A 16,334-nucleotide genomic window follows, 5' to 3' on the forward strand; every position below is an offset into this window, starting at 1 on the left:
ACAACATTCGACCCAGCAATCTCATTACTGGGTATATATCCAAAAGAACATCATCCTTCTAGGCTGGGCTTGGTGGCTTATGCCTGTAATCCCAGCACTTTGGGAGGCTGAGGCGGGTGGATCACAAGGTCAGGAGATCAAGACCATCCTGGCCAACATGGTGAAACCCCCGTTTCTACTAAAAATACAAAAAAAAATTAGATGGGTGTGGTGGCGTGCGTCTGCTACTTGGGAGGCTGAGGCAGGAGAATAGCTTGAACCTGGAAGGCAGAGATTGCAGGGAGCTGAGATCACACCACTGCACTCTAGCCTAGTGACAGAGTGAGACTGCATCTCAAAAAAAAAAAAAAAAGTCATCCTTCTACCAAAAAGACATATGCACTCACATGTTCATCACAGCACCATTCACAATAGCAAAGACATGGAATCAATCTAGGTGCCCATCAATGGTGGACTGAATAAAGAAAATATGGTATATATACACCATGGAATACAATGCAGCCACAAAAAAAGAATTAAATCATGTCCTTAGCAGCAACATGGATGCAGCTGGAGGTCATTATCCTAAGTGAATTAATGTAGGAACAGAAAACCAAATACCACATATTCTTACTTATAAGTGGGAGCTAAATCTTGGGGACACATGGACATAAAGATGGGAATGATAGACACTTGGGATGACTAGAGGACGGAGAGAAGGAGAGGGATAAGGGTTGAAAAAGTAACTACTGGGTACTATGTTCACTACCTGGGTGACCTGGGTCAATTGTACCCCAAAACTCAGCATTACACAATATACTCATGTAACAATCCTGCACATGTGCTCGTTGAGTCTAATAAGTTGTGTTGGGTGGTGGCTCATGCCTGTAATCCCAGCACTTTGGGAGGCAGAGGTGGGAGGACTGTTTGAGCCCAGGAGTTAGAGACCAGCCTGGGTAACATAGTGAGACCTCCTCTCTGCAAGGAAAAAAATAAGATTAGCTGGATGCGGTGGTGAGCACCTGTGGTCCTAGTTATTGAGGATCACTTGAGCCCAGGAGTTCCAGGCTGCAGTGAGCCGTGATCGTGCCTCTGCACTCCAGCCCTGGGTGACAGAGCAGCATCCTGTCTCAAAACCAAAAAACAAACAAACAAAAAAACCCAATTGAAATTATAAAATATGTTCAACATCATTAGTCATCAGGGAAAATGGAAATCAAAACCACAAGAGAGTATTTCACACCCAGCAGGATGGCTACAACACACTGATAATCACAAGCGTTGAGGAAGATGTGGAGAAACTGGAGCCCCTATACATTGCTGGTGGGAATGTAAAATGGTGCAGTAGCTTTGGAAAGGAGCTTCGCAGTTCCTCAAAAGGTACCATAGCACTCAGCAATTCCATTCCCAGTTATATACCCAAGAGAAATGAAGATATTTGTCCACACAAAAACATGTATGCAAATGTTTGTGGCAGCATTATTCATCATAGCCAAAAATGGAAACAACTGTTCATCAACTGATGAATAGATAAAGTGTGGTATAGTCATACAGTGCAAGATTACTTGGCAACAAAAAGTAAGAGGTATTGATACACGCTACAGCATAGATGAACCATTAAAATATTATGCTAAGTGAAAGAAGCCAGTCACAAAAAACTACATATTGTATGAGTTTATGGAAATAAAATGTAAAGAATAAGCTAATCTTCAGAGACAGAAAGTAGACTGGTGGTTGCCAGGAGCTGGGGTGAAAGGAGAAGTGGGAAGTGACTGCTAATGGGTATGGGGTTTCTTTTAATGGTAATAAAAATATTCTAAAATTGATCATGGTGATAGTAGTACAGCTCTGTGAATATACTAAAAGCCATTGAATTATACACTTTAAATTGGTGAACTGTACGGTATGTGAATTAAATCTCAATACAGCTAAAATAAATAATGAATCTCTACTTATCTTCATTTGTAAATTTCACCAAACTACTAACTTTTAATTGTAGAAGTTTAAACACAAAGAATGTAGAGATATTTACAGCATGTATAACAGAGAATGGGAAATATACTTTAATAAGGAACTCTTCCAAATCAAATAAACAAATATAAAGAAATAAGAAAAAGATGTACAGCACGGTAAAAAACTAGGCAAACGACACAATATGCAAGAGAAGTACAGATGAACAGAAAATTCAGAAAAGCATGGGATGGTGAAAAGGGGAGACATTGATTAAAGGGTACAAATATTCAGTTATCAGACCTAATGTTCAGCATTGTGACTACAGTTAATAATAATGTATTGTTAGCCAGGCCCAGTGGTGCACACCTGTAGTCCCAGCTACTCGGGAGTCTGAGGCAGGAGGATTGCTTCAACCCAGGAGTTTAAGCCCAGCCTGGGCAATATAGTGAGACTCCATCTATAAAATAATGGTAATAATAATGCATAGTATACTTGAAATTTGATAAGAGAGTAAATCTCAATTGTTCTCAGCATACAAAAAAAGTAACTATGTGAGGTGATAGATATGTAAATTAACTTGATTGTACTAATCATTTCACAATGTGTCCGTATATTGAAACATCACTTTGTACACCCTAAATATATAAATATATATAATTTTTATTTATCAATCATACCTCAGTAAAGCTGGGAAAAAACAAACTTCTAGAGATTGGTTGGTTGTATAACAACGTGAATATACTTTAGCACTATTGAACTATATACACTTAATGATGATCAACATGCTAAATTTTATGTGTATTTTGCCAGAGTTAAAAATTTTTGAAAAGAGAAAAGTGTCAAATTTATTAACACCTAAAGAAATGCTAGCGGAAAGGTTAACTGGTTCAGCCTTTTTGGATGTCATATTAGTAACATGTTAAGATAATTTTTAAAATTCATCCTTTTGGTGGAATAATTTTATATCTAGAAAATAACAAGGAAAAAGAATATGTGCAAACATACTCACTATGGCATTATTTATAATGACAAAAATTGCCGACAGCCAAATGTATGACAATAAGGAAATAGTTACATATATTAGAACGTATATATGCCTTGAAATATTGTGCAACCACTTAAATTGTGTTTTTAAAAATGACTAAATTATTCTAGAAAATATGATATTAAGAAACGAGAAAAGGCTTTGCAGACGCCGCCGCCGAGGAAAACCGTGTGCTATTAGCCATGGTCAACCCCACCATGTTCTTCGACATTGCCGTCGACGGTGAGCCCTTGGGCCGCATCTCCTTTGAGGTAAGGGGCCTGGAAACCAAGAAGTGACTGCTCATCTAATCCATAAAGCTATGTTAACAGATTGGAGCTGTTTGCAGACAAGGTCCCAAAGACAGCAGAAAATTTTCGTGCTCTGAGCACTGGAGAGAAAGGATTTGGTTATAAGGGTTCCTGCTTTCACAGAATTATTCCAGGGTTTATGTGTCAGGGTGGTGACTTCACACGCCATAATGGCACTGGTGGCAAGTCACCACTGGGAGAAATTTGAAGATGAGAACTTCATCCTAAAGCATACAGGTCCTGAAATCTTGTCCATGGCAAATGCTGGACCCAACACAAATGGTTCCCAGTTTTTCATCTGCACTGCCAAGACTGAGTGGTTGGATGGCAAGCATGTGGTCTTTGGCAAAGTGAAAGAAGGCATGAATATTGTGGAGGCCATGGAGCGCTTTGGGTCCAGGAATGGCAAGACCAGCAAGAAGATCACCATTGCTGACTGTGGACAACTCGAATAAGTTTGACTTGTGTTTTATCTTAACCACCAGATCATTCCTTCTGTAGCTCAGGAGAGCACCCCTCCACCCCATTTGCTTGCAGTATCCCAGTATCTTTGTGCTCTTGCTGCAGTTCCCTTTGGGTTCCATGTTTTCCTTGTTCCCTCCCATGCCTAGCTGGATTGCAGAGTTAAGTTTATGATTATGAAATAAAAACTAAATAACAACAACAACAAAAAGAAACGAGAAAAAACTCACTGCATATATATAGAATGACACCAATTTTGTGGCAAATAAGCCATACATATAGAAAAAAATACCAAAAATCATGGTAGGGTTACCAATGTTTTCAATTTTTTTTTTGCTTGAAACTTCTCTGAATGTCCTAAAAGGTCGACAGGACTATGTGTCCCCCCTTCCCTTTTTTTGGTATGCCTTTTAAATCATAATAAAGGTACATGTTTAATTTAAAACAGAGAAATTCAGAACACAAGCCACTTTCAACTTCATCTAAGAGCCTATTCTATCAGATACATAACAGGAAACGGAGACCAAATATTTATCTCCAATATTGAAATAAAGCATAGTAGTTCCATATTTTATTGTTCAAATATAAGAAAACTCAGGAGAATCATGTAATAAACATTTTCTAGTTTTGCTAATAATCTCGATGGAAGGAAAAGAGCCAGGTCCCGTCACTGGCCCATCAGTGATGGGAGGGTAGCTATGGTCCTGTTGAAAGGCTGCCCTGATGTTTTGTTGGTTTCTGTAAACATCTGGCTCTTGAAATCCTAATTATTCAGGATGTAAAAGTTTTGAGAATTATAGTCATCAGAATTTCCAAAAAAGTTGTAATGTTTATTGAAGGGCAGAGGAAGCTTCCCTCCCTACCTCCATGTATTCATCTAAAGCTGTGATATCAGCAAAGGATTTTGGGTGGCCAGCCTGAATGTCAGTCAAAACTCCACGGATATAGGGATAACACAAGGGCAGTCAGGGCCAGGTGTTTATATTGAAATGAGCCAAGGAAGGAAAAGCAGCATTCAGTCTGTTAAGCTGTGTGAATTGAAGCTTTCCTGCAACTGCCAGAGTGGGATTTCGATCTCTCATTAGAATAAGTAAGAATAAGTAAGAAAACCTTTTAAAGTGAGAACTGCTTTAAAAACTACTGTATTGCTCAAATATGAATCTAGTGTGAGTGAGTCTTTTTCATTCTACGGGCTTTGTTTTTCAGGCCAGCTTATTGGAGTTGCAGAAATATTTTTGTTAAGCTGAAGGTCGCCACTGGCACGGTTTTAGGCATATCCCTTCACTTCACTGAGCCTGAATGTCCCCGTTTCCAATGTGAGAGTGCTTTCAAGTTTTAAAATTATAGAATTCACTGAAACAAGCATGTTTATTCACTCCTCTCTGTGCCGCCATACTGCTCGCATGAGTATATAAATATATATCACTTTAAGTAACTACTTTAGGATCAGGGTCTTATTTATACCAAAGGTCTTTGCATGTAAAAGCCAGTTGGCTCAACCAAATGGCCAAGAAAAGATGTCCCCTTCTCTCCCTAACCTCCATGTATCTTCTCATACCAGATGGTACAATCTCTGAAATTCCATCTTCAGAGGGTTATTATTTAGGGTTAAGTTTGATCCTTTTTTTGGTCACTAATGCTTCATGGTGAATGGAGGTTGGGAATATTGCTCTGCGATAAGACTGCCTAGGTTTGAATCCTAAATTCTACTTAGTTGTGAGGCCTTCGGCAGGATATTTAATCAATCTATCCTTTAGTGTCCTCATTCATAAAATGGGAATAATTTTTGTTCCACTGTCATAGGGCTGTTATAAGATTTAAATAGATGAAACATGTAAATTCTCAGTAAACATTCATTCCTACTTCATCTGGTGGGAGAATTTCAAAGCCAAGTGAACACCTCAGGCCAAGATGTGAAAAGGTCCCAGAATGGAAATCGTGACAGAATGCTAGTGATATAAACCTCACCTACTGCATATATTAGCTTAGGCCTGGGGTGCACACTACTGAGACTCACATATTTTTGGAGAAAGGTTTAACATTATTTTCTCTATTTCATGAACTACTTCCTTCTCATCCCCAACTTCCTTTTATAATTGGCCTCTCAACATTTTCTATCACTCCTTATGAGATAATGAGAAACAATGGGCTTAACTTTCCTCTCTCAGCTGTCGTGCATCCTATCTATAGGTTGCAAAGATCCCCTCTCTGCTCCACTCCCACTGGTCTATTCCTGGGAAAACCGAAAACCAAAGAAGGAACATGCAATAGTTGCTTGAAATGATAGGGAAATTCTTTTTTTTTTTTTTTTTTTTTTGCTGTTTCCTTAGCCCTGACATGACATTCCTTTTCTGTTTTTAAAAGACACAACACTGCACATTAACTGTCCTGTGGGAGAGACCACACCCTCTTCCAAGTCATCCCAGTCCACATCAGAAATGTGTCTTCTGCAAACCTGACACAAAAAGCTCCCCATTTTGAAAAGGTCCTGATAGAATTAATATGAATTGAATCGCATTCTTTTTACTGTAACCAACTATCTGGTGTTAAAAAAGACTTTTGCAGAATTCTGGGCAAGAATTATTAATGCATGTTAATGGGAAGCCTCCAGTTCTGCTTTGCTGGGGAAGGAAAGGCCAGCTCTCACAACTTCCTCCACACCATGTTGGGACCCAGAGCCAAATAAATGGTCCATCTGTCTTCCATATGATGAGTTTCAATTTGGAAAATTCAAGGCTAGTTTGAGTTATTGGAAGCAAGTTGGTGGTATAGCATGACAATTAAAAGCACAGGTTTTAAAACTGACAAATCCGGGTTCAAATCTCCATTTAACTACTTACTGCCTTTGTAAGTAACCAGTCTCTTAGCTCTGCAAGATACAAATAGAGATACATCCTTCATATACATTAAATGAAGTTATGTAAGTAAAGCATCAAGCATATAGTAGGAACTTAATAAATTATACTGCTGTAGGTTGGCTAGTGACCATGTTTTTGACCACTAAATATAACACCGTAGGAAAGGAAGCAAGTGGAAAAGGGACAGCCCATACTTACAGAAGCCCAGGTTAAAGCCCTCTGCTAGGATGCATTAAAGAATCTCATCTTAGATAGGCTCCTCAGCCTTGAATATTTAATGCAATCCAAGTTTTCTCTGCCATTCCATAAACTCAGCACTGTTGCTTCTAGAGCCATTGAGAAGCTGCTAAGAATCTCAATAAACACCATGAATGACTTTAAATTACTCTCCTTTCAGCTTTGTCCAGATTCAGAAATTACAAAGCAATAATGTGCTTCCCGATTTATCTACTGAAGTGATATGAGTTGCGCCTGTTATAGTGGGAAAGCTTCCTTGGACATCTATATTTTCCCATATCACCAAGAGGGAGTGAAATCAAGACACCTGGTCATCTAAAATGTGACCTAACATACTCTTTTACAGATACATGCATTTTTATATAAATGGATTTTTAGAATAGTACTGTGTATTCCCTGATGTGAAGATAAGTTCATGAGTAAGCCTGTGGTTTCCATCTCTCTCCTTGCTCTTGTCAGAGCCGTAGGTGCAACTATGGTTTGTGAATTAGGAAGGCAGTTGGCCCCTCACACCTATATGGTAAAGTGTGAATGAGGAGTCATGTGTACACAGAGCTCTGTAACTCTCCAGGTGCACAGAAGCACCTGCCACATCCCCAGGTGCAAGTGGGTATAAAGGCAAGTGTGTTGTGGAGTCACAGGGGGCTTTTGGGCATTGGTGCTTTGCTCCACTCCCATCTCCCTGCCGCCAAATCATCAGAGGCTTCCTCTGGCCTGATACAGCTGGGCTCTGGGAAGGTAAGTGAGCTTATCCAGGATGGGAGCAGAGAAGGTGAGTGAAGCTGGACAGAAACAGAGGAATGGAGATTGGGGCACACATGCTTTCTCTGGCTCTCTGAATGAACACATTCATTCATTGTCCCAGTCTTCTATCTCAAATTCCTCTGCTTTACTTCTCTGTGGGATAACTTTCTCCACCTCTGTAGGAGATGCAAAAACAAGGGTGGGTCTCAAATAGTTGAAATTCTTTTCTATGTTGCCACTGCTTTTGCTCTCCTTCATTTGAACAAAAGGGTGTAGAGTTTGGATGAAAACCAACAGGGTTATAAAGAATTTTATCTTTGGATAAGGCTTTCAAGGGCTGCTTTCTATGTCCTGTGAGCCTAGAGTTGCCTCGTGGGTAAGTAGAAAGCACTTATCAACCCAAACAAATATTTTCCCAGGTTCCCTTCCCCATAGAGCCATAGTGGATACTAAAATGAAAACAGTCAGCATTAATTCTTGCTTACCCTGCGCACTTTTTCTTCTGTAAAGCAGGAGGAATTCTGAATGTAGGGGAGGAAAGAGATAAGTTTGAATGACAAAGACTGAAGCCTAATGGAGGGAAAGGCTTTCTCTCTCCACCTCTAGGGAACATTTCCTTGCCTTTGGCATCTGCTGCCCACCTCCTGACCCCCACAGCCCCCACTGCCCTGCATCTGATTATGCTAGCCAGCTAGGCCTTTCCTGAGCTTGCTCTGGTTCCGGAACTGGGAGTATAAATCTGTACTCAGTGGGCCCAGGGTCTCCTGGCCAGCCCTTCAACTGATTAAGCCTTGAGTCACCCGCACTCTGGTATGTTTCGCCTTAGTGGGTAACACTATAGACTCTGGAGCTATATCATCCAGGGTCGAATTCCTACCTCTGCCACTTGCTAATTGTGGAAGCCTGAGCAAGTCACATAACCTCTCTGTTCCACAGTGTTGTCATCTATGAAATAAAGAGTATAGTAACAGCTACCTCACAGCCTTGCTGAAGGGATTCAATGAGGTGCTACTTGAAAGAGATTTAGAAGGGTTTCTGACAAAAAATTCAATAAATGCTAATTATGTTTATTTACGCCTAACATGGCATAGAGAGGAAGGGGGCTCACCTTGTCCCTTGGCACTGCAAAAGCAGAGTTTGGCAGACCTTTCACAGACCCTGAGCTGGGCCTCCCCTCAACTTTTTGCCTTATGAGGAATGGACTGATGAAAAATGACCCTAATCCAAGGTACTTGTCTCAGTAGCAACCTTTTAAAGATTAATAATGTTTTAAGAATCTCTAACTTCTAAGAGATCTCTTTTTTAAGTAATAAAAGAAAACATGTTTGTGGTAAAAATCCATATATTTTGTCCATAAAGTATAGAAAATGAAAACCAAAAGCATTTCTCAAAATTCCATTTTCCAAAGGCTGTTAACAATCATTGGCTTTGTATAAAGCAAAATAAAGGAATAATAGTTTTGTTTGGTTGTTCTACTTCCAGGATCCACATTCTTTTAGTTCTGCTGTCTATTCAAACAAAATGAATTATTCAGTAGTTTGTGTGACTGAATGTGAATGAAATTAATTTAGTGCAGATTTCTTTTTTAGTTTCTAGGTGACTCAGCTTGCCTTGTAACTATTGCCCTAGTAAGATTCATTCTCTGCTGATGTTTCATTTTGCTAATTACATATTTCTGAGGACAAGTGAGCTTATCACTTATTCAGGCACCAAATATTTATTAAGCCAAGAACATTTTTTTCCTTATATTTGAGCCCAATGACTTGCTTACTTTGTGGCTTCCTAAGAATCAAATAAAAGTAGTTGGCTTATGTGCCTATGCTTCTCTACATATAAAATGGGTACAATATATTCGTTTGTCAGATAGTCATAATAAGGTCCTAATAAATGTGAAATACCTCCACTAAAAACGATCTAATATTAAGAAAAGAAAAATAGCTCAGAGCAGGCTGCATTATGTAAGGTATGCAAAATTTACCTGGCCCAGAGAGACAGGAGTATGGGATTTCAGTTACACTGGGAACCCCTTTCTTTGCCTGGGGAGCACTTGTTTAAAGACATGTTGTTATTTCTTTTCTTCCCTGCCTCACTCATTGTCTTCATGTTTCTGGAATTTGTGATACTAAGACCAATGTACAGCCAATCAGTAGCTTAGGTTATTTTAATGTGAATTCTTGGTAAACAATTTAGGAACTACCTCTTCTTTTTTCCTTTAAAAACCTGCTTGTAACTGCTGCTAATTGGAGGATCTACTCAGGGGACTAGAATCTATGCTCCTGGGTTGTTGCAGTCCGCAAACTTGGCCCAAATAAACTCTCTACTTATGTTAATTTTGCCTCAGGTTTTTTCCTTTAGGTTGAACACGTACACACACACACACACACACACACATACATATATACACACACACACAGGCACACACATATATATACACGTATACATATATATGTATATATGGCCTCACTACTGAGGCTGTATTTCCAGAACTTCATCTTTTTAAACAAAATGACTAATCGTAATATATGTGTATACACAAGGCAAGTATCATACAAGCTTTGGAATCTGATCTGGGTTCTAATTATGGCAAAGACAGCTAGTTGTCCCCCAGTACCCATTCTCCACTTATCCCTTAATATTAAAGCCCTGAGGCCAGGCGCGGTGGCTTACGCCTGTAATCTCAGCGCTTTGGGAGGCCTAGGCGGGTGGATCACCTGAGGTCAGGAGTTCAAGACCAGCCTGACCAACAAGGTGAAACTCTGTCTCTACTAAAAATACAAAAATTAGCAGGGCATGGTGGCAGGTGCCTGTAGTCCCAGCTACTCAGGAGGCTGAGACAGGAGAATTGCTTGAACCCGGGAGGCAGAGGTTGCAGTGAGTCAAGACCGTGCCACTACACTCCAGCCTGGGCAACAGAACGAGACTGTGTCTCAAAAAAAAAAAAAAAAAAAAAAAAAGCCTTGAGTATTTGTGGAGCAGCTGAGCACCTGGCTGCCTGGAATAGAGACCAGCCTTTTCTGAGCCTCTGCAGCTAGGTGTGGCCATGGTTAAGTTCTATCCAATGGTATAGAAAGAGAAATATTACGTGGGACTTCAGAGAAGCATCCCTAAAAGGTGGAGCACCCCATTTTTTGGTTTCTTTTCTGCTGCTAGAATAAGGACATGCTAGCTCCAAACTGAGTGGTCCTCAAGGACCATAAGGAAGAAGCTACATGTGGACAATAGTGGGTGACAACATGGAAGGAGCTATAGAACTTGACACCTCGGAGCACCAGGTCAGCCCTGCACTATTTACTTCTAGTCTTTTTATACATGAGAGAGAAAAAGAAATAAACTTCTACATTTTGTTTGTTGTCTCACGCGTCCGTGTGAAGAGACCACCAAACAGGCTTTGTGTGAGCAACAAGGCTGTTTATTTCACCTGGGTGCAGGCGGGCTGAGTCCGAAAAGAGAGTCAGCAAAGGGTGGTGGATTATCATTAGTTCTTACAGGTTTTGGGATAGGGGGTGAAGAGCCATGTTTTGCGGGCAGGGGTGGATCTCACAAAGTACATTCTCCAGGGTGGGGAGAATTACAAAGAACCTTCTAACACACATATCTAGGGCTAATCCTACCGGATACATTAGACAAATTACTCACAATTTTCTAATCTGTAAAACTGGAATAATAATTACTGTCTTAAAGAGCTGTGAGGACTAAATGAGATAATGCATTTAAAGCACTTGGAGCTGGGCCCGGTGGTGCACGCCAGTAGTCCTAGCTACTTGGGAGGTTTGAGCCCGGGAGTTGGAGACCAGCCTGGACAACATAGTGAGACCCCGTCTCTCAAAAAAAAAACCTAAAAAATAAATAAAGCACTTGGCATTGTATCTGGCCCCACAATAAATGCTCAATAAAATGTAAGCTTCAATTATCATTATTATTTACATGAATTCACCCATGATTTAGGAAATATCATCAGCCCAAGAACTGACAGGACATGTTGTAGTGATAGAGGAAAAGAGGGCCTTATGGTCCTCCCCTTTTCCCTGGTACCCTGGTACCCTGGAACCCAACAAGGCAGCCTGGTTGAGGTTCCTCTTGGTGTTCTGTGTATCCCATCATTGCTGCTGAGGCTGGCACTGGGGCCCTGAGAAGCCCTGCGAGCCCCTCTGCCACCTGCCAAATCAACTTAATGGATGCAACTCCAAATGCAATAAAAGAGCACTGGACTTGGGTCCCCTCCTCAGGAAATGTGCCCTATGCGCAACTTTTGTGACTGGCAATTGACTTTTTTACCGTAAACAATTCCAAACTGGAGAGATCTTAATTTTTTCCAGTTGGTAACAAAGAACTGATCAACAACCATGAGGAAACAGCACTACTTAAACCATTATCAACTAGGATAGAAAGGCAATTTTGGTGGGAGAAAAGGGGCCAGTTACTGCTTGGAGTTCAAAAGCTTATTCTCTTCTAACACTGCCAGAAAATAACCAGGGACAACAGTTGAGGTAAACTGGATTCTGAAAGGCAAGAGGTGGGACCAGGGGCTCCATAGACCAAGTGATTTTTTTTTTTTAACCAGTAAAATAAAAGAGAAGGCTGCAAGTGATCAAAATCTCTTGACAACAACAAGTTGCTGACTGGCCCTGAATGTCTCAGCAGGAGCACATTGTTTCTGGAAACCCTAACCCAAGTGGATTATAAACCTGAGAATGGAAGGCAGTCAGTTACCCAGGACATCCAAGCTGGCTTGCCCTGACATGTTCTTCATGAGGTGATGACAGGGACATTGACAGGATGAATTTCTATCCCCCGCTCCCTTCACACTTCCCATTACGGCAACTTGAGAATGAGCAGTAGGGAATTCTGGGACCCCCCTAGACCCCTGGTTGATGTAAATCCTATAACTATCCATGGGTCCTAGGTGAAGAAACACTTGGGCTGATGTACAGGGTACTTGCATGTAGCCAACTGCAAACTAGATTTACTGATAGCAGTAAGTCACTCAGGGAAATTTACAGTTTATTTTATATGATTTGGAGTGGTAGTTAATAGAATGAATGACAGAATCAGCATTCCAGGGGTATAGAAAGACTGGAATAAGGTACTGAAAACAGGGTGAAATATAATAGTACAAGTGACAACATCCTGCATTTGGGTTCCAGGTATCAGCTGCATGAACAGAGAATGGGAAAAGTCTTGATAATGGTTCAGTGTGATAAGGACCTAGGGAAGCACTGTTCAAACTTCTTCCACAGAATTCTCTTTTAGAAGATTAATACTGTGTGTTGTGTGATATTAGTTGATATTTTCCTGAGTGTTTACTACATACTGGGCCCTGTTTTAAGGCTTTCATGTATGTGCACTCATTTAATCTTTATAACAACCCTCTGTGATAGGTATTATTATTATAATTCCAGTCTACCTACAGGGAAGTAGAAGCACAGAGTGGCTAAGTAACTTGCCCAAGGTCACACAGTTGGCAGAACTGGGATTTAAATCACTGTCCATGCTCTTAACCACTGTGTCTTGATACTTTTTGGAGGACTCATAAGTAAAGAAACTTGTTGAACTTTGAATTAGGATTAGACATTGTTGTTTTAGCACTGAAAACTTTTTAAAAAGGCAATTACATCTGGTAGACCAGTGTTTCTTGAAACAATAATTTAGGAACTAGTGCAAAACAGGTTATTTGATGCTAATAAAGACCAACCAAATAATGTAGTTGCCAGAAAAAAAAAAGAAACTGAAATATTGCTGTTTCACAACAGGAGAAGCATTCTGTTCAGGAAATGTAGTTGTCCTGCTGTGTGCTCTATCCTTTCCTGACCTCACCTGAAACGCTCTGCTTGGCGCTGGAGATCACGTCACAAACCAAAGACAATGAAAAATCTAAACACAACTACCATGTGAAGAATAGCTGATGTTGCTGGAGATATGTAGTCTGGAGAGGAGTTGAGAAGATTAAATTGTTCAAATATTTGAAGGACTTCTTTGTGTTCCTTTAGAGCAGGGGTGTCCAATCTTTTGGCTTCCCTGGGCCACACTGGAAGAAGAAGAATTGTCTTGGGCCACACATAAAATACACGAACACTAATGGTAGCTGATGAGCTAAAAAAAAAAAAAATTGCAAAAAATCTCATAATGTTTTTAAAAAGTTTACAAATTTGTGTTGTGCCGCCTTCAAAACCATCCTGGGCCGTATTGGCCTGAAGGCTATGGGCTGGGCAGGCTTGCTTTAGAGGATAGAAGTAGAATCAACAGGTCAAAGTTACAAATAAGCAAATTTCAGCTCAGGATAAAGGAGAATTTTCTAGAATATAACTGGCTGATAGTGAAGTCTTGAATGCCCAACTCTCAACTGACTGAGCAAGAATCATGGCTGGCTGGCACAGCCAGGCGGACAAGTGTGGCTTGGTGGAAAGAGTATGGTCCAAAGACCACAGTCAAGTCCTGGCCCTGCCCCTTACCAGCTATGTGACTTACATGCCAGCAAGTCTCAGTTTCCTCAGCAGTCAGATAGAGGTGATGATACACATTGCATGGGGTTCTATAAATCAAGTCTAGAGTAGAAAGAGGTTTAATGACATATGACTGACGGGTGGTGCCATGTGGAAAATTACCTTGATGCAACAGAAGCCTCCAAGTATATGCTGCAAGACAAGCTGTCCCAGAGGTCATGGAACAGAGAGGCTCACAGGCCAAATTAAAAGGCTCAAATCACATATTTGATTAAATTATTTTGAAACACATAAGGAGATGAAAGAGAATAAGATGGAGTCCATTAAGATGCTTACAACAGGGTTACAAGTGAGGTGGAAGGTCCACACTACGTAAAACCGGGGCTGTGCAATGTTCACAAAACAAAGACTGACACTAAACTGCTAAAAACCTGATTGTGTCCCTATGTATAAATGTCCTTGCCGTTTAGTCATTTACATATGGCATATACCACATGGGATAAATCAGAAGACCTCAGAGATTTGTCAATGTATTCAGTGTTCATAATATTATCTCTAAATAGAAGATTCTAAACTCCAAACTGATAATGCCGATAATAAAAAATAAACCAGGCCTATACTGTCTTGTCATCAACAGATGGTTCCTGTTTTTCCCTCATACTTATCTAAGGGGCCTTGCTACAAACTGCAGCTCTAAAATTGTTTTAGAAGAAGCATCAAAGAATCTCAGTAACAGATGATACCTAACTCCTGTCAGACTCTACTCAAAGACTGAATTGGGATTTTCAAGACTCTTTCAGTTCAGAAGTAGACTTCATGAAGGTAGAGCTTAACCCAAGATCAATAAAATAAGAACTAATTAACCCAGGACTAAAATAACTGACCACACTATGGTTAATGTTCTATTGTGAATAGCTTCTTTTTTTTTATTTTATTTTTTGAGACAGAGTCTCTCTCTGTCACCCAGGCTGGAGTGCAGTGGCACAATCTCGACTGCAACCTCCGCCTCCCAGATTCAAGTGATTCTCTTGCCTCAGCCTCCCAAGTAGCTGGGATTACAGGTGCCCAGCTAATTTTTGTATTTTTAGTACAGACAGGATTTTGCCATGTTGGCCAGGCTGGTCTCAAACTGCTGACCCCAGGTAATCTGCCCTCCTTGGCCTCCCAAAGTGCTGGGATTACAGGCATGAGCCACCACGCCCAGCTATTGTGAATAGCTTCTTAATCTATCTTTATCTTTCAGTTGAGCACACTTCCAATTGGTATCTTGTTTCAACTGACCCACTGGATTTCAAATAAATATCTTATAAAAGATCTGATAAACTGTCAAGAAAACTCAAAGAATAATGATTGTGTAGAAAAGACATCATATATTGGCTTGACTTTTTTCCCAACATCTGGTTGTGTGTGTGTGTGTGTGTGTTTATCATGCTTTTAGAACTTCCCTCCTATCTCTCCATCATGCCTTGTCCTTGCCATGTTTATGTTACAATCATCCAGAACAGGGGTTGGTTAGCCTGCTTCTTCCTTTAGTAAATAAAGTTTTATTGCCCATTCATTTACATATTATCTATGGCTGCTTTCACACTACAGCAGCAGAATTGAGTGGTTGGAACAGAGACTATATGGATCAAACACTGAAAATATTTACTATCTGCCCTTTTACAGAAAACATTTGCCAATATCTAATCCAGATTTTAATTTGTGTTATTAATTTTAAATATATAACATATTTAGACAAGTCAACTAGTTTCTTTCCTCTACACTGATTCTTGAACCCTACATCTTCATCTTTCTTGGATTCATTATTTATTTTGTTGAAGTTTATGCTATTGTCATTCTTTCAAAAAGATTCTATTGGTGATATATATCTGCTGAGTTTTTAATATCAAAAATCATGTTATTTAATTTCTAGGATCATTGTTTGCTTCATTTTCATGGATATAATATCTTAAACAAATTTGAGGAAAATTATTATATTTGTAATACTTATAAGTATATATTTTACTTATACTAATTGTACTTGTCTTTTTCTTTTTTTTTTTCGAGACAGAATCTTGCTCTGTCTCCCTGGCTGGAGTGCAATGGCATGATCTCAGCTCACTGCAACCTCCGCCTCCTGGGTTTGAGTGATTTTCCTGCCTCAGCCTCCTGAGTAGCTGGGATTACAGGCAAGCACCACCATGCCTGGCTATTTTTTTGTATTTTTAGTAGAGATAGGGTTTCACCATGTTGTCCAGGGTGGTCTTGAACTCCTGACCTGGTGATCCGCCCACCTCGGCCTCCCAAAGTGCTGGGATTATAGGTGTGAGCCACCATACCCAGC

At 40.1% G+C, this 16,334-nt stretch overlaps 1 protein-coding gene and 1 pseudogene across 5 annotated transcripts in view, besides 2 other annotated features; one reads left to right on the forward strand and one right to left on the reverse strand.

Moving 5' to 3' along the window:
- The window catches only part of RIPOR2 (RHO family interacting cell polarization regulator 2), a 237,885-nt gene that overhangs the window by 168,976 nt on the left and 52,575 nt on the right, over positions 1-16,334 (reverse strand). The window lies entirely within an intron of this gene.
- PPIAP29 (peptidylprolyl isomerase A pseudogene 29) lies at positions 3,118-3,928 on the forward strand (annotated as a pseudogene).
- Positions 7,479-8,049: an enhancer, noted in NCBI's record as "OCT4-NANOG-H3K27ac-H3K4me1 hESC enhancer chr6:24980966-24981536 (GRCh37/hg19 assembly coordinates)". NCBI's record gives its function as "activates a minimal SCP1, AML or CMV promoter by ChIP-STARR-seq in primed H9 embryonic stem cells {active_cell/tissue: H9 hESC(primed)}" and the evidence as "EXISTENCE:reporter gene assay evidence [ECO:0000049][PMID:30033119]".
- Positions 11,834-12,452: an enhancer, noted in NCBI's record as "OCT4-NANOG-H3K27ac hESC enhancer chr6:24985321-24985939 (GRCh37/hg19 assembly coordinates)". NCBI's record gives its function as "activates a minimal SCP1, AML or CMV promoter by ChIP-STARR-seq in naive and primed H9 embryonic stem cells {active_cell/tissue: H9 hESC(naive and primed)}" and the evidence as "EXISTENCE:reporter gene assay evidence [ECO:0000049][PMID:30033119]".

This window comes from Homo sapiens, chromosome 6, assembly GCF_000001405.40.
Source record: "Homo sapiens chromosome 6, GRCh38.p14 Primary Assembly".
In the NCBI taxonomy this organism is placed as follows: Eukaryota; Metazoa; Chordata; class Mammalia; order Primates; family Hominidae; genus Homo; species Homo sapiens.